Here is a 23,793-nt window from a genome sequence, read left to right on the forward strand (position 1 = left end):
AGCACCAAAAGAAAAACACCGTCAACCAAGAATTCTACATCCAGCAAAACAATTAGTCAAAATTAAAGAAGTAATTAAGGCATTTCCAGATAGACAAAAACTGAGATAATTTGTTGCCAGCCGATTTGCCCTATAGAATATAATATACAGGCTGAAATAGAAGGTCATTAGTAACTTGAAGAAATCCATATTAAGAAATAAAGGGCACAGAACCAGATAAAGGTAATTACATAGGTAAATATGGAAGGAAAATATAAATGTATGTTTCTTTTGAACTCCTTTTATTCTCCTATGTGATTTAAAAGACAACTGCATAAAACAATACAGATTGATCACATTCTGATTCTTTTTAGTCTTTATGTAGATATAGTATCATATGGGTCAATCATAGTTTTCCATGTGCCTATAGATTGCTGTTTTCTGCCTTAAATTTTCTTAAATTAACAAATTAAAAAATTGCATATATTTATTGTGTTCATGTTGTTTTGAAATATGTATATATTATGAAATGGCTAAATCAGCTAATTAACATATGCATTACCTCACATACTTATTTTTGTGGTAAGAATACTTAATACCTAGTCTCTTATGTTTTTTGTATTTTTATTATTACAAATAATACTGAAGTGACCATCACATAGATGCATTGGCATACTTTTGTGAGTGTTTTACCTGTAGGGTAAATTCTTAGCTGAGAAGTTTTGAGTCAAAGGCTATATGTAGGTAGAATTTTTATAAGTTTTGCCTATTGATTTCCCAAGAGGATGCTCCACATTACATTTCTGTTAATAATATATGAGAGTGCCTATTTTTTTACCCTCACTAATACTTGGTATTATTAATCTTTTAAATTTATATCAATGGACAAATACATAATATTTCACTTACATTGCATATATTTATTTTTGAATTAGGTTGAGCATATGTTCAAACATTTTTGGCCATTTATATTTCTGTTTCTGTGAACTGTTTATTGGGCCTTTCATAAGCCTATTAATAGCTGGTTATCTTCTTATTTAGTTGTGAGAGAAAAGCCAGATTTTGGGGGATCCTAGTTACCCTATTCAACTTCGGGGAAAATTCTTGATCTCAGTTGGATTCCCTTCCTTTGTCTGTGGAATGGGAGTGGATGAGCATGCTTTATGGAGGTGTGCGGTATGCCTCGCACATCTTTGGTGCTCAGTGAGCATGAATCTCCTTCCCTCTCCAAAGCGGCAATGGCTTATGTTGAGCTCTGCTCCAAGTCTCTCTGCCCTCCTCTTCTGCCAGCGGCCAGGGAAAGCACTTTGCTTTTAAGGGCTCCTGCAACTAGGTCAGGCCCACTGGACAATCTCCCAATCCAAAGGCCAACTGTGCCATGGAGTAGAACCTAATCATGGTGTGATATTTTGCCACACTCACAGGTTCTGGGGATTAGGCATGGCATCCTGAAAAGGGGTTGTGCTTTTTAGAATCCTTCCTATTCATACCATGGCCTTGGGACTTTTTCTTTCCTTTTTTTTCAAATACAGACTTGGGTGGAGCCCTGCTAGACAGAGTAGGTGAAAGTGGAGCTGCTGTGGGTGGAGACGGGAGGGAAGGCTGGGGCTCCCCTGGTGGGAGCCATCAGAATGTGATCAGTCTGCATTGTTTTATGCAGTTGTCTTTTAAATCACATAGGAGAATAAAAGGAGTTCACTCAAGGCAAGACCCCAACAACTGAAATCTTCAATTTGAATGTTATGGGTTGAAGGCATTGAAGGCTACTTCTTGGATCATGGGCTCCACTGGACAGGGTGAAGCATCAAACCGTTGGCACCTTTCTTAAATAGTTTATTTTATTTTATTTTTTTATATACATTTTAATTTAATTTTTCTAAAAAATATTTGTTTTTCATCTTTTTTTATACAAACTTTTGCTTACCCTCTGCTTTTAAAATTTTTATTTTTTATTTTTATTGTTATGGATTTAGGGATACAAGTGCAGCTGTGTTAAATGGATATACTGGGCCAGGTGTGGTGGCTCATGCCTGTAATCCCAGCACTTTGGGAGGCCAAGGTGGGCAGATCTCCTGAGGTCAGAAGTTCAAGACCAGCCTGGCCAACATGGTGAAAGCCTGTCTCTACTAAAAATACAAAAAATAGCCGGGTATGGTGGTGGGTGCCTGTAACCCAGCTACTGGGAAGGCTGAGGCAGGAGAATCATTTGAACCCGGGAGGCTGAAGTTGCAGTGAGCTGAGATTGCATCACTGCACTCCAGCCTGGGCGACAGAGTGAGACTCTGTCTCAGGAAAAAAAAAAAAAAAAAAAAAAAAGAGGATATACTGTGTAGTGGTGTAGTCTCGGCTTTTAGCGGACTCACCACTGACATAGTGTTCATTGTACCCTGTAGCTAGTATTTCATCTCTAACCCCTCCTGCCCTCAATGTCTATTACTCCTCTCTGTATGTCTGTGTGCACCCGTTGTTTAGCTTCCACTTGTAAGTGAGAACATGCAGTTCTTGGCTTTCTGTTTTTCTGAGCCATTTCACTTAGGATAATGTTAGCAGTTTATTGGGGTAGCTGTTGCTGAAATAGGGTCCTGAATGGTTCAGCCACAGGACCAATTGGTTTGGATAAAACAGGAGAGAGAAGCACCAGATCCTGATGTAGCTGAGGGGCCGCAGGGAAAAATCCTGTGACATCAGGGGGCTGCCTGCCACTAAAGGGAGCCCTATGGCAAAGAGGAAAACAGGTCTCTGGGTGTGAGGGCCAGGCCTGGCAAGACGCCGCATGGGACGCAGAGCCAGACAGACAGAACGCGGACAGAACGCGAGCAGCTTTATGAAAGGCCGCTGTGTGCCGCACTGACTCTCCAGGGGGGCAGGAACCAGGCCTGGAGGCGACAGGGCCTGGAACAACAGGAGAAACACAGCCAGGAACTGAGCTTAGCTACAGCAGGGACAGACATCTTCAGGACACTACCACCACTGCCATCCCCACGAGGTCCCCGAGGCTCAGGACTGGACGCCAGAAGCGGCCTCGCAGAGGTCAGGGTCTCCAGCGTGCACCGGCTGGAAGCCCGGATCCCCACCCATGGCTGCCGCCTGTTGCTCCTCACATCAGCATCTAACTTTTTTAGTTTTGCCCATTTCACTTGTTTGGCAGCAGAGGCGAGTGGGAAAGGCAGTGTTCAGATTCCCACCTCTGTGGGACAGGAGGCCGGGCCGAGGAGGCTGGAACAAACGGGTGTTGAATCAGCCAACTTCAGCATGTGCCGTTCATGCCAAAGGCAGGCTTCTCCTTCGCACTGTAATCAATTAAAAACCTGTTACTGCTGCAAGGGCAGCGCCTTTTAATTGCGATTCCCAGTAAGAGGTACATGTAGCATCATGACCTGGTATACGTGCACACACCCCAATCCCCATGTAAATAATACTGAGCCCAATGTTTCATGAAACAATGCCTGTACAGCCATGTACTCCAATATAGACAATTACATTTAATTTGTAAAAACTTGATTATAATTTCACAACCCACGAATGGGTTGCAAGTAGTAAGTTGAGAAATGCTTTTCTAGGGCTTGTTTGGACTTCACATAAGGGATTCAAAGCAGTTTCTCTCTGTATCTTCAGAATTCTGGCAGAATCAGGCCTCTGGATGTTCCAGGGAGTGTCCTGGTTCCCTGGCTCTTACTACAAGACAGCAGTTCAGATCCATGGAACGTCTCGACTGTTCTGCCTCACGGTGACTTGATCCATCAACTGAATAGGACAGCATCTGATTAGATTTTAGAGGCAAGAGCGTCGGCTCTTCCTACTTTCGAAGATTTTCTTTCGGCACCCACTTGGCCTCATGTTACCACCCCTTTCCTCTCTGGAGGAGCTGGAGAGAATGGCTGGATGGATGCATTTGGGGGAGTGGCTGAGCATGCGCGGTGAGATCCACTCTTCCGCGTGAGCTGCGTGCAGGGAGTTCTCTCCCACCCCCCACCTCTCTCCCCCACTCTACCTTGTCTCCCCAGGCAGCAGTGACTGTCTGTGGGGTCCATGGGGGCCTGCCTGCTGTCCAGGTCAGCCCTCTCTGCCTCTTATCAGTAATGAGCTGATGTTTGGGTTCTCATCTCTCACTTCTTACTCTAATTCCCAATTTATTCATGGGGAAGACAGAGGCTCATTTACTGGGACTTCTTCAGCAATGACACTGGTCTCAACTTATTGGCAGGGAAAATGAAGCAGAGGATCCCAGATCCCACAGTATGTTAATGGAAACCCAAGGCTAGAGGCCAGCGCCCCAGGCTTCCAGCCCCAGCACATCTCTTGAGTACTTTGCTGGTTCTGATGTGCCACAAATACTAAACAATAGCAATGTCCTTGAGGCAATCCTTGGAGACCATTGTCAGCACTTTGAGGTTTCTATCTCCATTGGGCTTGCAGCAGATGCAAGTGGAAAATGGTGATAAAAACCTACTGCCCTGTCCTGGTTTACCCAAGGTCCCAGAGCCACTCTAAAGCCATGAGGTGGTTACATACAGGCATGGATCCATCTGTCCCAAGTGCTTGAAACAATGCCTGGTAGATGACAAGCCTTCAGTAAATATTGGTAGAATTGAATGAGATCATTAGACCATTAAAATACTTGTTTTTAATCACTTCTAAGAGGTTTCTAGGGTGGCTTCAGGCATTTCTTCTTATTTTCAATCCCTACACCATCCTACAATGATTCCCCTTTTATGGATGCGAAATTGAGGATAAGGTCAGTTGGCTGAGTCATGCAAGACCACACAGCTGGTAAGCCGCTGAGCTGTGATTCAGATCCCAGGCTGTTTGACTCCGAAACCTGAAGGCTTTTATTTATAACGTTCTGATATTGCGGCCACAGACATCAAGCTGGCCATGAGAGAAATCACCATAAAGAGAGCCCTGCTCATGTAGGTTGCCTCTCCACGCATCAAGCAAGGGTGGCTTTGACTTTGGGAACTCTATTGGTACAAAGCAGTAAGCCCAGCCGTCGGCATGCAGAGCTGTTCCCATCTGTACCAACGAAGCCCAAAGCTTCCGAACGTATTCCATATCCACGCTGCAGCGCCTGTCTGCAGCGCCTGTGAATGCCAAAAGGCACTTCGGGCACGACTTTTGTAAAAAGGAGTATTTTCCAAGTTCAAGTTGAATAGATATTTTGGAAAATACATTCTGTAGGGTTCTTCTGGGGGTCATTTTGAGAAAATCTCACATACCCTTTTCTGTGGTCCCTTTTATTTAGTAACACATGCACGCACAGACACACGCATGTGCACAATGATGGCGGGCTGATGTGGCAAGTGTGCCTGACGCTTTCTGTTGGGTGGTCTTGAGTGTTGATACTAGAGTTTATGCAGCAGCTGGGTAATTAATTGTTGGAGAAATTGCCAAGGATATTTTCAAACAGAAGCCTTCCCCCACCGGCCAGTTACTGAATCGGGTGTGAAGGACTGAAAGACAGCCTCCTCCTCTGGCTGAGATGAAGCCTGACCCTCGACTCCTTGAGGACTCAGAGTCCCCCAGCCCTGTCCTTGTGTTCTCAGGACAAGAATATGCGAGATGCTATGTAATGGTGTGGAGACTTTAGAGACACAAACTAGATGCAGGTATTCAAATTAAAGGCATGAAATTGACTACAGAAGCCAGCTCTATTTAAGTTCACATAACTAACTAGGGGTTTTCAAACCTTAGGGTGTGTGAAGTCACTGTGAAGCTTGTTAAAATGGAGATTCCTGACTCCTACTCCCAGAGGGGTTCTGATTCAGTTGACCCGAGCTTCAGAAGTTTTAATTTTTAATAAGTAGCTCAGGTTCACACCAGAATTCCACCTGTCTGGCCAACTGGGCATGTCAGAAGAGGCACAACAGGTATACACAGGGGTGAACTTCCTGAGCTTTGGGCTTCCTAAATCAGACACATTACAACTTTATTTTAAGGAAAAAATGGAAAAATAACTTGAAAGGACCAAATGGAGAAATGGGTTGAAATTGTGGTTCATGAACATAATAAAGTATTGTGTGGCCAATAAAAATAACACAGGTACACTCATAATATGGAAACAAGAAAAAACATGCTCTCATGGTGATTACAGTGATGTGGGCAGATTATGGGGAGGTAATAACAGAAATAACCTGATTGTTCTCAATAGTATTTAATTTCCTCTACTCAATTATTTTGTAAAAGTCTTCAGTACAAGCTCAGTATGAAAATATTGTGTGTTTTGCATTTTGCATTAATACTGGGCTCTGTAACAAGTAGAAAGAAGATGTAATTCCTATCTACAAGAAGCCAATGGCTATAAGATGAGCAAAATGTCAAGAAATCTAGAGGTGGTGTAGAAAAATTGCAGACTTTTTGGCCAGAAGATTTGTGTTTAAGTTTCAACCTTAGTACCAAAGTGGACAACCACTGGCAAATATTTTAACCTCTCTTAGAGCCAGTTTTCACACCTTTCAAGTGAGAATAACAATAACTACTACCTTAGGAGTTGTGATAATGGTACATGAGGCTAATAAAAATAAACATACCTTATAAGCTATAAAATGCTATTAAATATAAATGTGTTTTCCGCAAAGCAAAACAGTGAAATGTCAACTTAAGAAAACTTTCCCCTTTAAGGTTTTTTCACTTATGAGATTAGAAACCCATCTTTGGCTTGATTAATAGTGAGTTCTTGCAATCAAGCATCTCTGAGACTTGTGTGTGTCAGACAGCAGAGAGGATACGATGGCATCCCAGGGTCAATCAAGCACAACGTGCACTGTGGTCCTGGCATGCACTATCAACTGAAGCTGTGTCCACCAACAAGCCCATGCTTGTCTTTGTCTGTAGAGGGTGATGGAAAAGCCCATTGGGGAGGGATGGACACAGTCACCTGGAGTGTCCATTCACTTTCCTCCTCCCCAATGCCCTGCACACAGATTGTGCATCCAGCTCTGGCTGTGGACCTGTGGTGTCGTGATGACCTGGGACAGAGAGCAGGAGGACGTTCCCTTTGGTGCCTCTCATTCCCTATGTGCTGGTTAGCACATCATTAGGCCTGATGGAAGGCTCTGCCAGGCCCTCCCCCACCGAGGGCCCCATCAACAGGTGAGTGGGGTCCATTTTGCTGGAAAGACTCTGGAAGGCTGGAGAAGAGACTGAGTGCTCTCTCTCTCTCCTATGGGAAGGCAGTGAGCTAGTGCCCTCTTGGGAATGCAGTGGGAGAACTCACCAGATGCTTCCAGCAAAGCCGGGAAGTGCTAGTGAATTACACGATGATTTCCACACTGTTTATCAAAGATCTTCTGCTCCAATATAAAGCTCCCAAATATGGTATTTCATGATGTGGCTGAGATGTGGCCAAGTGTCCAAGACACATAAATATTTATGAAATAAGCAAGCAAATGCACTTGGAAATGCATTTCTGCCTCAGTATTAATGCGGTGGTCATTGGCATTGATTCTCAAAGTGAGGCCATTTTATGGATCATTCCCAGCAGGGACTAAGAAAACATATCAATGTCCAGAACTTTTAAGATCCAGGAAGCACAGGGGGAGAGTAATATTTTCCAAGGGAAGGTAACATTTTTACACCCAGAGAGTCAGGAACCCCATTCAGTGCTGAGCACAGGAGAATTCAGAGGCATTAGCTTCTGTGAGACTTGGGTTCGAGTCCTAGCTTTGGTCCTCTCTGTGACTATGTGCAAAAACTCCACCTCTCTGAACTTCAGTTGCTTTGTCTATAAACGCTGTCCATGTCTCATGGGGTTATTGTGACGATTAGATGAGATAATATGTATAAAGTGTCTGGCCAATATCATGCACTCCTTAAATATTAGTTTTCCTTTTCCTTGAATTATTGTATTTGTTTTGAAAACCTTGGGTTCTACCAAATCTCACATTCCTTCCCCAGGACGTTCCTCTCAGTCCTGGTGTGTATATGCAGTGAAAGTGAATCCACATGGTCTTCACTTGTGTCTACTAAAAACATCAAAATGTTATTCCAGAAGATTTGTTTGATGTTCAAAATACTAAAGCGGCAGCACTGAGTGGCATGCTCTGAAGATGCCTGTCTCGCTGGATTTTAAAGTGGCACCAGTCAATGCCTTTAGCATCCCTCCACTTACAGTGGTCCTAGAGATAACATGGGCTTATAAAATAGCAAAGCCTGGCACATGATTGCACTTTTTGCTGTAAAATGCTTTCACAAATATTTTCCCATTTAATCACAAAACAGCTCTGTGTGTGTGTGTGATCAATGCAATTGTTGTCCAGCCTTACAGATGGGTTTAAGTAGAATCTCAGAGGTTTCACGCCACTTGTCTAAAGGCAAAAAGCTGATAATTGGCAATAGTAGGTTTCAGATCATATTTTCAAAGGTAGAGCATCCCACAGCCACCTGGAGCCTAGAAATTAGAGGCTGTTCAACATGATTCATCTCTCCCTTTGCCTTACTTTTTCTTGGTTTCCTATGGGAATTTCCACAGGGGTTTTAGCATTTAGAAAGATCTCGTGGATTCATTGCTCAATGAGCAAAGTCACTGAGGGCCGGGCTCAGTGAAAATTTTGCAGGCTGAATAATTAAAAAAAAATCTGGGAAGGATCACAAAATTGAGGGCCAAATGGGACCTTCAGAGGTGCTCTCATTCCTGGAGGCATTCAGGATTTCATTCCACAATTTTGATTGCAGTCCTGCTGTGTGCCGGGCTCTGTGCAGAATCATGACAGCCAGTGTCAACCATGGTGGATGTAGTCCTAGTTGTCAGGACTTTAGGGCCAGTCTTCAGCCAGCCCTCTAAGTTCACAGGTGAAGGAAGAGACCTGAAGAAGGGAAATTACCTTGCTCCAGGCCACGTGGCTGGTTAGAGGCAGATTCACACTCGTCCAACTCCGGCTAAGCTTCACCCCACTCCCACCAAGGCCACTGAATTTAGAAGAGAAAAGACACCCAACGCAACTCTTTCCTCTATGTAGCAGTGGGAAAAGTACAAACGCCCATCTTCCTGGAGAGCTGTCCCAAAGCTTTGGATTTTTCCTCTGATCGCTATGACATGGTTCATAGTGTCCACTTGATGGGTACTCGTGGAAGGAAAATCAGACGTGTTTCCATGGTCCTCACCTGGTGGCTAGGTCTGGGTCCCACTTGCTCTCAGCAAGTGGCCAATGCCACCCCTATGGTCCTATGGGGGCTGGGGAAGCCTCTCAGTGCGCACTCCCCGGCCACCTCTTCATACTTGGGAAGGTCCAGTGTGCCCTGAGCCCCATTGCTCCTGTCTCTGCTTGGGACCACTGCTTTCCAGGGGAGGAAGGCCAGCTCCAAGGAAAGTTCAGATTATTTTAGGTGGGGCCTCATAAACCCAGGAAACAGGAAAATAACCAAAAGAAAAAAAATCCCCCTGCACAGATGGGGGATTGGTCCTAAAACATCAGGCCCTGTTCTGTCTAAATCAAGACATCTGGTCACTTTTTTTCGGCAGGACAAAGACTCTTTTTTTTCCCAAGCCAGGATTTTATGTCTTTAATCTTTTCCAGAAGAAAAGAGTTCTCATTACGTCTGCATCTTATCACATCACTGTATATCATAAAGATGCCGTTATCGCCTCTTCCTTCTGATTAACTGGCCCTGAGTGATTCTAGCCAGTGTTATTAGCTGTGCTCTAAAAACAATGACACTAGTATCACCCAGCCATCAACAGAGGTCAGCTTCATAGGCACTGTTGAGTAATCCACAAGAATCTCTGCAAGCTTTTCATAATAAACAATGACGAGAACGGTTCTTTGTCCAAACCATGGCTAAGAGAGCCTTTCTGCGCAGATATGCTTTGGCACCTGCAACTGGAGTTTAAAAGCCTCCAGCAAGCTCAAGTCCAACATGTGGCCTCACTCGTTGGCTTGGTTTCCTGAGTCAGAACAGCAGAAGGGACTGGAGATGTAGCACCTGGTGTCTTAGGTGGCCAAGCAGCAAGCAGGTGTTATCCCTTTATAAATTAACCATCCTTTGGAAAGGAGCTTGACAGAGAAGAGAGGTTTTGTCTCCAAATTTTAAATGTGGAAATAGAAACAGACATATGGATATTAGAATAACGTGCAAGGGGCCAGGCACAGTGGCTCATGCCTGTAATCCCAGCGCTTTGGGATGCTGAGGTGGGAGGATTGCTTGAAGCCAGGAGTTCGAGACCAACCTGGGTAATAGCAAGACCCCATTTCTACAAAAAATAAAAATAAAAAAATTAACCAGGCATAGTGGTGTGCCCCTGTAGTCCCAGCTACTCAGGAGGCTGAGGTGGGAGCACATAAGTCCAGGAGCTTGAGGCTTCAGTGAGCTATGAGTGCACTTCTACACTCCAGCCTGGGTGACAGGGCTAGATCCTGTCTCTAAATAACAAAAAAGAATGGCATGCAAGAATGACCATGATAGCAGTGATGACTATGATGAGAACGATGTGCTGACAATGCCAGTCACTCATTTCACAGTAGTGCCCTGATGTGGGAAGTACAGGATGGACGCTTGGGGAGCAGAGCACAGCGTAACTGACCCCATGGTCAGTAGTTTTCAAACATGGCTCCCTGTTAGACTCACCTGGTCTGGCCAGCCTACCCACCCCCAGCACCCCAGGGAGTCTGATTTAATTGTTCTGGGTGAGAATGGGGCCTGGGCATTGGTACTGAAACTCTCCAGGAGACCTTCCTTTGCAGCCAGGGTGGAGAACCTCTCCCTTTGATGAAAATAACCCAATCAGGTGGGATCAGGAAGGAACGCAACAGTCAGTGCCTTTTCAGCTCCTTCAAGAATAGGCAAGGTGAAAAGCGAGAAAGAGGTATATTAGTCAGGGTTCTCTAGAGGGACAGAACTAATAGGATATATATGTATATATATACACACACGCATATATATACACAGACACACATATATATACACACACATATATGTATACACACACACACACACGCATATATATGTGAGTTTAGCAAGTAGTATTAACTCCCATGATCACAAGGTCCACAATAGGCCATCTGCAAGCTGAGGAGCAAAGAAGCCAGTCCGAGTCCCAAAACTGAACTCGGAGTCCGATGTTTGAGGGCAGGAAGCATCCAGCAGGGAGAAAGACGTAGGCTGGAAGGCTAAGCCAGTCTGGCCTTTGCACATTTTTCTGCCAGCTTTATATCCTGGCTGGACAGGCAGCTGATTAGATGGTGCCCACCCAGATTGAGGGTGGATCTGCCTTTTCCAGCCCACTGACTCAAATGTTAATCTCCTTTGGCAACCCTCGAAGACACACCCAGGATCAATACTTTGCCTCCTTCGATCCAATCAAGTTGACACTTGGTATTAACCATCACAGATGGTCTAGGAGAAGGGAACAGGAGTTGGCGTGAGGCCTAGAGGTGAGGGACAGATGCCTACTAGGAGGAGCTGGGGCCATGGTGCAGGGTAGGAGCATTGCAGCTGAGTCGGGACAGGGTGAGAGTGGAGATGGAGGAGCAGGTAGGGGAGGGGTGGGGAGGGCTTTGTAGGACAAGCTGCAGGGTCTGCATGTCCTCCTGAGAGCTAAGGGAAGCCACTTTGGTGGCATTTCGCAGGGTAGATGGCATCAGATACATATATAAGTAAATAAATAACATGATTGTGGCTGCAATAGGGAGAACGGATTGGAGAGCCACAAGGCTGGAGGCCAGAGGCCAGGGAGGAGGCTGCGCTTTAACCCGGGTGAGAGGGGATGGTGGCCTGGGCAGAGGGAATGGCTGCAGAGAGGGATTCACATTATACTAGGAGCCGGAACTGCCATTTCACAAGGAATTGATATGGAAGGTGAGAGGAGGAGTCAGCGTTTCCCAGGTTTTCCTGCCTTTCTCAGGAAACGCAGTGCCCCTGCGACTCCACACTCACCACCCCCTCACACTCCTTGTGGCCCTCCCCCTGCGCTAATCTCCTGCTACTCCGAGTCCACCAAATCCTAGGAGCAGCAAGGCTCTCTCCTGAGAAGCGATCCCCTTCCAGAAGATCGCAGCTGGGTGAGTCCCGTGTAGGTCTCCTCTAGGACTATGTGCCTTTTAATCCAGGAGCTCCACCATCTTCCCATTTACTTCGAGAGGGCCATAGCACACAGAGGTGCTGGCAGGGCCAGGCCTCTCCCCGCATCACCAGCGGTGACTCTACCTCCTTCCAAGCTTCAGGATGCCCCTCCCTTCCACTAGCCCACCCGCCCTGCCTTCCATTCATCCGGCGCTGGCTCTGTGGGAACTGTGGCTGAAGTCATGTGTGCAAAAGCATACTCTCTAGGAGAGTACACAGAATTCACAGGCCACACTGAAGCCTTGCTTCATTTGACTGCTCCTGGGACCCCATCACTGTGCTGACTGGGATCCTGAGCCTGAGCCCGCTGGTCCTCGTCAGGGGTGATTTCCTGCTAGGTTTGCTTGCCCTGGGATTCACGTCCCTCAGCTTCCCTGCCTGGACTACCACTTCTTAGCGTTGACATCCTGCTGTTCCTGCAAAATCTCTTTGGTTTAGGAGATACTAAGCCAATTCTGTCTCAGTGAAAGTTTGTCAGGAGCTGAGTGATCTCTGTCAAAAGTCAATCATGACTGGGCAGAGGTAGATACGAGGGGAGGACGGGAAATGACACAGGGGAGGAAGCAGGCTCCGGGAATTAGGCCGGTCAGGGTCACACAACAATAATACCTTCCCTTTGCTACTTGTTTATTCTATGTGCCTAAAGAAGGTCTGCAGGCACAAGCCTCAATTCTAAGTCAAAGCACATACAGCAGCACAGCCAGTGCGGTGAAGTCCCCACGGCTCCTCGCGGCTGCCTGATCCCCATCCCATGGACATGCAGCCCATATGTGTTCGCTCCACAGAGATGAGCTAGCAGAGCAGGACAAAATCACACCTGCCCCCTTGGGCCCATCATTGCAGCAGACACCAGAAATAGTGGTTTGGTATTGCACAATTTGTACATTTCACGATGAGCAAATGGGATTTTAGGTGATCTTGACTTTCCTTTTTCTTCTTTTCTGTGTTGTTTGAATGTGTTATCTTTATAATCATAAGAAAAACAAAGCTGTATGTTGAAGAGAAATTTGGAAGGCATTGTCTAAAGAGACGTGCAGTAAAAAAGAATAGAATAATGTCTTTTGCAGCAACTTGGATGGAACCGGAGGCCATTAGTCTAAGTGAAGTAACTCAGGAATGGAAAACCAAATACTACATGTTCTCACTTATAAGTGGGAGCTAAGCTATGCGAACATAAAGACAAACAGAATGGTACAATGGACACTGGAGACTCAGAACTGGGGAGAGGAAAGTGGGGTGAGGGTTGAAAAACTACATACTGTATACGATATATACTACTCAGGTGATAGGTGCAGACCTCACCAGTATACAATTAATCCATGTAGCCCAAAACTATTTGTACCCCTAAGGCTACACAAAAAGAAATGAGTGAGTAATTTTGTTCAAACTAAAAGCTTACCTAGTTGGCTAAGCCTAACAGAGAAATGCTACTATTGAGCCTCAGAGAAGCTTGGGGGCCACCGCGACCACGTGTGCAGCCTGGAGAACCGAGCTGGACTGAGTTTTGCTGGGAGTGACAGTGAAATGTAAGTAGAAAAAAAAATCAAGTTATTGGGGAACTTGCCCACAAGGGCCATGGAAGGACTCCTTGGGTGAACAGAGCGAACTCTAAGACCCTGTCTCTGGGAGGCAGGTGACACCGAACACCTTTGAGGCTGGTGTACTTCGTCTGCTGCAGCCCACTGTCCAGCCGTCTTGCCTCAGTGAAATGAGGCAAGTGAAAGAAAATGCTCAGAAAAGCATCTGGGCATCTCAAATAGATGGTCCAGGCCCTTGGCCTCAAAGATTTTGAATGAATTCTGAGCCTTTTCTCTTCCATGTCATCCTGGTCTGGGACAGGCCATCGATGCCTAACAGCGCCTGCTGCTCAGGGCCATGGATGTGTTGACGTTGCTGTCATGCCCCATCTGTGGCCATCAGGGAACCGTCAGCATGCTGCCCCGCAGAGCCAGTCCATGGACGCACCGTGGCCATGCTTGTGGCCTAAGGGCATCTTGGGAGAGCGGCTCCACAGTTGTTTGTTTCCTCCCCCAGGTGCGCATCAGCAGGGCCTGAGCCCGGGGCCAGCAAGCATGGCAGGCTCTTGGTAGTGTCCTTAGTGCACACAGTCATCTTCCCTCGTGAGTCTGACCCATTTCTTTTAGCCATAGATGTTTACGTTGGTCTTTTGTTCTTTAGGATGAGTTTTCTCTTGTTTCCTGGGCAACTTAGGCTTAGATAGGCCTACTCCATCAGCCTGTTCTCTCTGGGGCCAGAGATACCTAGGCCTCAGGAGTGACACAATTCAGGGATCCAGGTGGGATGCCTGCCACGCCATAGTGTCACAACCAGCATCCTATGTGCAGCATTCAGGGATTATCTGAAAAACAGAAGGATCCACATCATAGAGTTGTTGTAAGGATAAAATGTGCTATCTTGAAGGGCCTCATGCAATGCAGTGCACGTTTCAATTGCTTAGTACATGGTAGCCACACCATCATACACCACTCATTTTGGATGACAGCATTGGTGGACTGTGTGGGTGGAGGTCTCTGAGTTCTGAGTGGCACCTACGCCCCACACCTCCTGCCACCTTCTCGGGCTCACTCAACTCTCATGGCACTTGATGAAGAGACTGCAGAATGCTCAGGCTGGCTGGTGCAGCAGGATTAGGTGTGGCTTCAACTAGGCTGCTAACTTTGGACAATGCTTTGCATTTGTAAGTGTAAGGGAGGGAAAACTTTCCCTTTAGTGAGATCTAGAAGCTTATATATGCTCTTCGTAGGGGACAGGGAAGGAGAATGGAGACAACTTAGGGAAGGGTAAATGACTTTAACTCTTTGTCTGTGGCAAAGTCTGGCTGGCTGGCATGAACCTCCAGTTTCCTCTGCTGTGCTTTCAGTTCCCTCTTGCCTGGTGGATGCCTGGGGAGGGGTTCATGACATCTGAGTTCCTTTGGAAGATCTGTCTTTGGGTAGAAAGGAGGAGCTCAGAGAAAGCCCCTTCCTGCATTTGCTATTCCCCAAGTACCCTCGGTTTGAAGAAATCGCCAAGAGTGATTTCAATATGCCATCAGAGTGGTGTATTTTGGGGTGGCATTTCTAAACTCTTTTATAAGCTACACTGCATACAAATAGAACATTTGGAAAAGTCACTTCCTGTGACTGTGCAAAAAGGCTTTAAATTGAGAATTGTTGTCTGATTAATCATCACATGTGCTGTGAGAAATGGCGTGGAACCACTTTATGGGGGAAATATGTCTTTTTAGAGCAAATATCTGAAGACAGAGAAATGTGAAGATTCAAAGTGATCATTCTCAGCTGTTCCCTGGCCATCAGCCAATATTGCTTTTATTTCCTCCTTTTACTGGAAACGGCTACTCCTACCTTCATAGAATTTAGAAGTCCAGAGCTGGAATGGGCAAGAACATTCTCAGGGGAGCAGTGAGGCCTGAGCCTGGCCTGAGATGCATCTAGGATGAGACAGCTCACAGCTTGTGGCTCAGGACCACTGCAAGGGGGAGGGAAGGTGGGTGACATGGACAGTTCTATAAGGCAGGTCTTTCTCTGAGGACTTTCCATTTCCTCTGTCCTTCCACCAAGGCTCAGTTGGGTGGTGAATTAAGTTAACTGGTCATTAAGATGAAAGAGGGAGGAGGAAGTTCAGAGCAGGGCTTGTTCTCCTTCCTGGAAAATAGCCTTGAGCTGTGGTTTGAAACAAGAGTTGCTCTTTAAGGATTAGTTGTATTTTCAAAAACCACATCAGATGGAAAACCCAGAGTCACAGAAACTCCGGGCTTGGCTTTGATTTGGAAGATGTTGCAATGATCTGAACCAGCAGTGACCTCAGAGGTGGTGGCCCTGGAAGGTATTGGGTCTCACCTGAGCTTCCACCTTTAGTTAAGGGCATGGCCTGGCTCCTGTCTACAGAGCAGTTAAACATTGCAATCATGGAGCCAAAAGCTCACAAACCGGAGTGATTCATAGCACTGTAAGGACAGCTTACAATCCTTTCCTCAGGCAAAGGTTTCGTGATGAAGACACTAAAAGCAATTGCAACAAAAGCAATCCTCACCACCACTTGATATTTTCTTTCTTTTTTTTGGATAGTAGCCGTCCTAATGTTGTGAGGTGGTGTCTCACTGTATCCTGCTCTGTTTTGATGAGGGAACATCAGATATGCTTCCTGTGCTGAACACCCTCTCAAGAGTAAAAGCCTCAGCCATCCTGGTGGCCTCCCAAACCTGAAGGATCCCCAGTGACCTCTGGCCTCATCTCTGGATGATGCCCTGTCCTTCCCCCAGGCTGTTTCCCAAGCCCACCTAGCAGCCCTGATGTCCTTCTCTATCTGCCTGGTGTCCCCGCTTCACCAGGACTTCATATAAAGTCAGATCTTCAGAAAGGACTTCTCTGTTATTCCTACAAAATCTGCAGTTCCTCCCCTGTCTCTGAATCCCTCACTTGGCCTGCAGTCTTTCTTCTCTGCTGTATATTGAGCATCCGGAAATGCCACCTGGCACATAGTAGGTGCTTAGTATTTGCCAAATGAATGAAAGAAAACTATACTGAACTATAAACTAAGACTTCTGAGAGTTAGTGACATTTTTAGATATGAATTTATAGCCAGATTCCTACCAAATTCTAATTCTATTTGTTTTCAGTAGATTCTCCTGGGTTTCCTGGTATATAATCATATCATCTACAAATAATGACAGTTTTCCTGTACTCCCCCCCTTCTTTCCCTTTTCATATTTTTTAGTATAATAAATAACAGGGGTGATAGCAACAGCTTTATCTTGCTTCTGACCTTCCATCAAGTGTCTCTGAAATTCCACCATGGATGGTAAGTTAATGTTGGCTTTAGATCTGAGGGATGAATTTTGTCATGCTGAAGAAGTACCATGGGCTCCTGTTTTACTTAGGACGTTTTGGTTAAAACCAAGGAAGAATGAAGGGTTAATGCTCTTCAGCCCCCTTCAGCACCTACTGGGTATTAAGCTTTCTCTTTGACTCCTTAGTGTGGGAATTATGTGGATGGGTTTCCTACAACTGGACCGTCCTTGTGTCTTTACCTTTTAAACCCAGATGTGCCCCTGTGATGTGCAGCGAGCCCCTGTGGGCAGGGCCGGCCATGTCCCCTCGTCCCTTCGTCCCCTCGGGAGGCTTGCTGGGAACTGAGGCTGGCCGCGGTGGCAAGCTTCCCAGCGAGCCACTCAGGATGGCTTATTGTTTCTGAATTAAACAAACGAAGAATGAGATTCAATTAGAGGCAGCATAATGTAAACCGAGATGGATTTATATTTAGCAAGGCAGAGACATGTGGGAAAGAATGAAACTTCCTTCGTTTCAGAATTGGGAAGTCGGCTTTGAAGTGTGGGGCTGGGCTTTCTGGATGCTGTCTTCACCTCCCCCAGACGCGCCCCCAGATGTTTCCCTCGAGATACTAAACTTCTTGGGAAAGCAGCAGAATTCAGTGGGCAGCGAGCTTCTGAGGCTTGCACGTAGGAGCCTCGCTGTCTCTGTTAAAGCCACTTGCAAGGACGAAGCCACATTGTCCCCATTTCCTCATTTCCAAATGGGCTGATGGAACCTCAAAATCCTGGTATAATGTGATTAAAGAAGAAAAGAATAGATTTTTTTAAATGATGAAGATGTCACTACATTGAATTTACTTTTCCAAGCCAAATTCTAGAGAGTGCCTTACAGGGGAACAACACCCTCTTTGTTATAATTCTGTTTGGGTCGGCTTTCAGCAGGCAAATGAGATGGGAGGAGATTTCATGGATGTTTCTTAGTTGAGAAGAGTACATGAATGTGAAACCCACAATAGCAATAGCAAGGACCAGCACAGGACGAAGCCCGCCGCCGACTGAGTGCCAAGTGTCATAGTCTGTAGTTTAATCCCCGCATCTAACTGTCCTCATGAGGTGGGTGTCGTCAGCCTGGTTAGGGCTGCTTGCTGCAGTGTCAGCAGCTGGGCAGGGCAGTGGGTCTTAACCAGGAACAGAAAGACAGGAGACTTGCTTCTTTCTCTCCCAGACCTGTGTCTTTGGGGTTGTCCATAATCTCTTCTGGTTTGCTGGGGCCTGTCTTTTTGTAAGAGGACAGCCTGTTCCATGGAGATGCCATTCGTTTGCAGGGAGCTGCCCTGAGGGAAGGAATCAGGAGGGAATTACTGACACAGATTTGTAGGGGTGACTTTATTTTGTACAGGGATTTTAGAGTTTATAGCAGGAAGAAAGCAAATGCGAGTCCAGGGCTCTGGTTGCCTGGGTAAAGAAAAATTGAGTTGCTCATGCTTCCAGAGTAAGAAGGAAGTGTTAAGCTGGTGACCAGCGTGTCTCCTTTGGGGAGCGTCTGGGAGCACCCTAGGGGAGAGGCAGCCAGGCCTACAAAATGTCCCAGAACTGCCTCTGGGGAAGCCAAATCTAGAGCCCACCCTCCAGGAAAGAAGAAAATTTTGGATGAGCAGAAACAAAGTCTTCCTGGAAAATAATTTCAACATGGACCCTGCATTTCTTTAATCCCTTTGCCTAAAGGAGTATTATGTTGCTTTGGAAAAGAAGCAGAAACTTGTTCAAATGTTTTTTTTAATTAATTATGTTTTTCTAAACACTAAAGCATCATGACTTTGTGCTCCCTCCTCCTCACTTCCCCTCTCTTCTCTCTGCCCTTTTCCCCCTCTCCCTGCTCCCTCCCCCTAGAAAGCGTAGACTGGGGCTGAACTAGTTAATGGAGACCAGCCTTCACACAGGGGCATCTGTGGGACAAAGGGTCTTCTGCAATCATGGTGTTTTAGGAAGATTAGGAAAAATGAATAACTTCCTTGAAAAAATTGGTTCGGAGGATTGTTTTCTTCGTTATACCTCTGGAAAAAATTCAGTGATACTGCATGAAGGGAAAAGAATTAATACAGCTCTTCCTCCCCTTTTCTTTATTTTTATATCCAGGAGTCACTGGAAAAATCAGACCTTTTCCCATATCACAGACCCAGCAGCAGTTTGGGCGTGCTCTTGCCTGTGTATAGAAAGCATGTCAAGACCGATTAAATTATCTAATTAAAATAATGACCACAGAGAGCCTGTTTATTTTGGCCTGAGGAAGGTCAGCTCCATGGGCCCCTTCTGTCCTGCTGAGGTCCCTCCCCAGCCACAAGCATACACAAGACCTATGATGACCTGGCTTCTAATAACCTGCTCCCAGTAATGTCAGAGTGGGTCTTATGCCACCAGTGGGGACAGGACTCACTCCAGCTGAGACAAAAGATCGTTCTTTAAGACTCTCTAGACACCGTCTTTGTATCTGTATCTATATCCCTCTAGACATCCATCTTTGTATCAGCATCTGTATCTGTATCAGTATCTGTACTGATACTGTACTTTGTATCAATATCTGTGTTGAATCAGTACTTTGTATCAGTATCTGTTCACCACAGCAACTTGAAGTGTGAAAAGTTCTGGCAAGGGTTATTTTTAATCTACACCAATATGGACAATTGTTTGACTGAGCTGACTACAGTCTTGGGTGCTTTTTGCATCATGAAGATAAAACCTAAGATCCACAGAGCATGTTGACCGGTAACAAGTGAAGAAAACGCTGCCAGAATATTTTTTACACAGTACTAGGTAATCATTTGGACTAATTTGTCATGAGATTATTGGGCTGTCTTGACAATGTGCAGGCTCAGCCCAGTGAAGGGCACATTCCCGGGACCCTGTGTCACCCCTGAGGATGCAGGGTATTAATGAGGGCTCATTACAGTCAGGCTAGATCAGGGTTCTTTGGCCTGCGGTAAGATCTGGGAGCAGAATGTAAATATGCTACACATGATTTAATTTCAAAGAAGCCCCGGAGGAATGCACTGAGCCTGTCAACACTGCAAACCCAGTGCAGGGTGTAAGCCCTGTGCAGGGTGTAGAAATGCTTCTGTGGCTTTAGAGACTTGCTGTTTGGTCTTGCAGTTATTGAACAAAGTGCTCCCTTTTGGGGGTGGTTGGTTCAATATCCTGTAAGTCCTTAGAATGGAGGCCACAGCCTTGGAAAGCCAGAATGTAAAGCCTCATTCTTATTTTCTCACATGGTCCCAGGAGATGACGGCTGGATGAGCACTCTTCAGAGGGGAGCAGGGAGGCAGCGGTTTATGCAAGGGAAGGGCAAATGATGCAGCAACAGGCGAGAAATAAAAATTGCCTGCCTGCCTGCCTGCCTGCCTGCCTGCCTGCCTGCCTTCCTTCCTTCCTTCCTTCCTTCCTTCCTTCCTTCCTTCCTTCCTTCCTACCTCCCTCCCTCTCTCCCTTCCTTCTCTGCTTCCTGTCTTCCTCTTCTCTTTCTTCTTTCCTCTTTCCCTCCTCTCTCTCTCCCTCTGTTTTTCCTTCCATCCTTCCTCCTACATTTAATGAGTAACTGCTATGAGCTACGAGTGTTAGATTTGTGATATTCAATAATATTAACACTGATTAACATTTTTATGAAATTCTTTAAAGTTTGGCATCAACCATCTTACCTTGGGATATAGGAGGAGAAAAGGAGAGCAAAGTGTGAGTTTCTGTAGGAAAAATTTTTACAAAATGGTATCGAGATTATTTTTCAATTTTGGGTGCTCTTCATTTCTTTGTGTAGATCTAGATTTCCACCTAGTATAATTTTCCTTCTGCCTAAAGAATTTCCTTAAACATTTTTTGTAGTGCGGCTCTGCTGGAGGTGAATTCCTTCAGCTTTTGTATGTCCGAAAAAGTTTTTATTTTGCGTTCATTGTTGAGAGATTTTTTTTTTCTGGGTGTAGATTTCCAGGTCAACAGTTTTTTTTTTTTCCTTTCAATTATTTAAAGATTGTGAACTGTTTCTTATTTATCCTTCCAGAAATTTTCATTGCATTTGAAAGCGTAGACTTGAATCTATATTTGTTTTTGTTAAAGAAGAATGGGCTGATTTCAGTGCCCATCTGTCGTTCTGCTTCCTGATGCTCCTTTGGGATCTTTGCCTGTCGTTGCACACTGAACTATACTCGTTCATTTTCTCGGATGCACGGCGCACACGTGCTTACTGTGTCTCATTCAACCAATCCCTTACTGTGGGAAGTTTAGATTTTTTGCCTTCTATATTTTTGTTGTTGTTGTAACAGTGTTCTTATTGGTATATCTTTATGTTGTACTGCTCTTAAAATGCTTTCTTGTTTGTGGGAGTGGACTGCATTCATTTTTTTCTATTCTTTAAAAAATTTTTTTTATTTTACTTTAAGTTCTGGGATACATGTGCAGAATGTGCAGGTTTGTTACGTAGGTATACATGTGCCATGGTGGTTTGCTGCACCTACCAACCTGTCATCCAGGTTTTAGGCCCCACATGCATTAGGTATTTGTCCTAATGCTCTTGGGGGGTGGGGGGCAAGGGGAGGGAGAGCATTTTTTTCCTATTCTAAAATTTTTAGTATTCCTCCAGCATCACCCTTCCTCCTCACCTACCCACTGTCTGTCCCTCTATGATCTGCTATACGGAAACATCTACAGGATGTTTTGTGTTGAGCGGATGAATACATGAGTGAATGAATGATGGGGGGTCGGCGGGGAAATGCCAGGCAATTGCAGCAGCTGTTGCTCAGTGCCCCTTCCTCAGAATGGCAGGCAAGCCAGTGAGTTGAGCACATGGCAGGAAGCTGCACAGGCCTTGGCGAGACCAGCTCCTGAAGTGTCATCTGTCATTTTTGGTTTTCCCATTCGGTGGCTGTCTTCCAAAGCATGAAGTCATTCTTAGAGCTCTGGCATCAAGGTGCTGACCCATTCTGTGAAGCCCTGGGTTGGTCTTCCTGGGGTGCTTGGCACTAAGCAAAGGGCAGAGGGTGAGAGCCAGGGAGGCCCACAATAGAAACAGATAAAGTGCTTCAAGAAAGCCCGCCCCATCCTGCACTGGCAGGCTCTGAAATGATAGCCTATCATTTTGCACACAAAAAGGGGAAGAAAACCAACAGTGCAAATGGAAAAACTGTCCACCGTGTCCAGAGGAGGGTCTGATATGTCAGACTTGTGTGCCAGAGAGAAACCCCGGGAACAGATTGACCTCCAAACCAGGTTACCAGGCCTCCTACCCCAGATTCCTCTCCTGCTCAGATGCCAGATGCAGGGGCAAACACCTGGGGCTGGGGGCTGCACTTCTGCATCATGGGCACTGCTCCAGAGTCTAGCACCTGTAGACTAGGAAGAGGGCCACACAAGGGGCTTGGGGAGTTAACCCACATGACAGCTGGATTATTCAGCCTCAGATGGACATAGGTGCTGGATGGAATGCCAGTGCTGTAGTTTGAATCTTTGATCCCTAAAACCTCATACTGAGATCTGATCCTTGATGTTGGAGGTGGACCTGGGGGAGGTGTTTGGGTTGTGGGAGTGGATCCCCCAAGGCATGAATGTCTTCATGCCTTTCTCACAGCGCGAGAGCTGCTTGTTACAATGAACCTACCCCCTACCCACCCCTCTCTTGCTCCCTCTTTCCTCATGTGATCCCCACAGGCCAGCTCCCCTTTGTCTTCCACCATGAGTGGAAGCTTCCTGAGGCCTCACCAGAAGCAGATGCTGGTGCCATGCTTCCTGTACAGCCTGCAGAACTGTGAGCCAAATAAACCTCTTTTCTCTGTAAATTACCCAGCCTCGGGTATTCCTTTCTAGCAACACAGTTGGACTAAGATAGCCAGGCAGTGGGAAGTTGGGAGACACCAAGCTAGCCAAGTGGTCTTGTCAGTTTTTATTAGAATGCTTGGAATCATCTTAATGTAGTTTGCATTAAGCCAAGTGGTCTTGTCAGTTTTTATTAGAATGCTTGGAATCATCTTAATGCAGTTTGCATTAACACACACACACACACACGCACACACACACATGCACACTCTCACCCTCTTCATAGAGCAATAATCCCTGACTAAAAGTTGATGTGAGCAAATTAACTTTCTTTTAATTTCTTAACCTCTACAACCAAGATTAAATCTATGCTTCATTGTTCTATTTCCAGAAAAAAGGAAAGATGACCATTCCCTTCTGTGCATGGAGGACCTAGTTTTTGGTTTTTCTGCAGTTGCTGCAACCACACTGTTTACTTAGATGCTCAGTTGCTAAGAGGGAGGCCAAGGGGGCAGGCTGTTGGGATTCGTGATTGGGGTGAAAAGACAGGGAGAGAGAAGGAGGAGGAGGAAAAGGAAGAGAGAATGATCATGCCCCGGAGGTTTCAGATATCTGTGTGTCTCAGGTTGCATTCCAAAGCCAACCTCTCCCTTGGCATAGGAAAGACTGCTTTGGATAATCTGAGGCTCTGCCGTCAGCCAAGCTGTAGCCAGATGAGCTGTAACTCAGTTTACCCAGAGGTTCTTGGAAGTTACATCGTGAGGGGATGGGAGTTGACCAGGTAGTATGTCAATTTATGTAAACAAAGCTGATATCCTTTGTTAAATCAAGCATTCTCTGAACGTATTTGTCTGTAGAACTTTTCGTATTTTTAAAATATTTTTTTAAGTAAAACATACTGATATCCCATGGAACTCTGTCTCCAGAGCCAGACTGCTGAGGAAAGATTCCTATGACCACAGCAGGCAGCAGGAAGTGCTTTTCAGAATGGAAGCGTCACTGGATGTCATTTGGAAAGTCCTGTCTTACCCAGAAGATGCTCAAGGAAGTTCACTCATTAGGCGGTGGCTCATTCTTATTTTCCACACCTCTGAGTAGTTTGTAGACGTAAAGATGTGGTCCCAAATTTCAACCAAGTAGCCTCAAAGATGAGAGTACGCAGTTAGACATGAACA

The 23,793-nt window shown here is 45.7% G+C and overlaps 2 annotated features.

Annotated features, from left to right (window-relative positions):
* Window positions 1,344–1,885: an enhancer, noted in NCBI's record as "OCT4-NANOG hESC enhancer chr18:10044033-10044574 (GRCh37/hg19 assembly coordinates)". NCBI's record gives its function as "activates a minimal SCP1, AML or CMV promoter by ChIP-STARR-seq in naive H9 embryonic stem cells {active_cell/tissue: H9 hESC(naive)}" and the evidence as "EXISTENCE:reporter gene assay evidence [ECO:0000049][PMID:30033119]".
* Window positions 9,560–9,854: a silencer, noted in NCBI's record as "tiled region #3848; HepG2 Repressive DNase matched - State 22:ReprW, and K562 Repressive non-DNase unmatched - State 22:ReprW". NCBI's record gives its function as "represses a minimal TATA promoter and a strong SV40 promoter by Sharpr-MPRA in HepG2 and K562 cells {active_cell/tissue: HepG2 | K562}" and the evidence as "EXISTENCE:reporter gene assay evidence [ECO:0000049][PMID:27701403]".

This window comes from Homo sapiens, chromosome 18 (genome assembly GCF_000001405.40).
Source record: "Homo sapiens chromosome 18, GRCh38.p14 Primary Assembly".
In the NCBI taxonomy this organism is placed as follows: domain Eukaryota; kingdom Metazoa; phylum Chordata; class Mammalia; order Primates; family Hominidae; genus Homo; species Homo sapiens.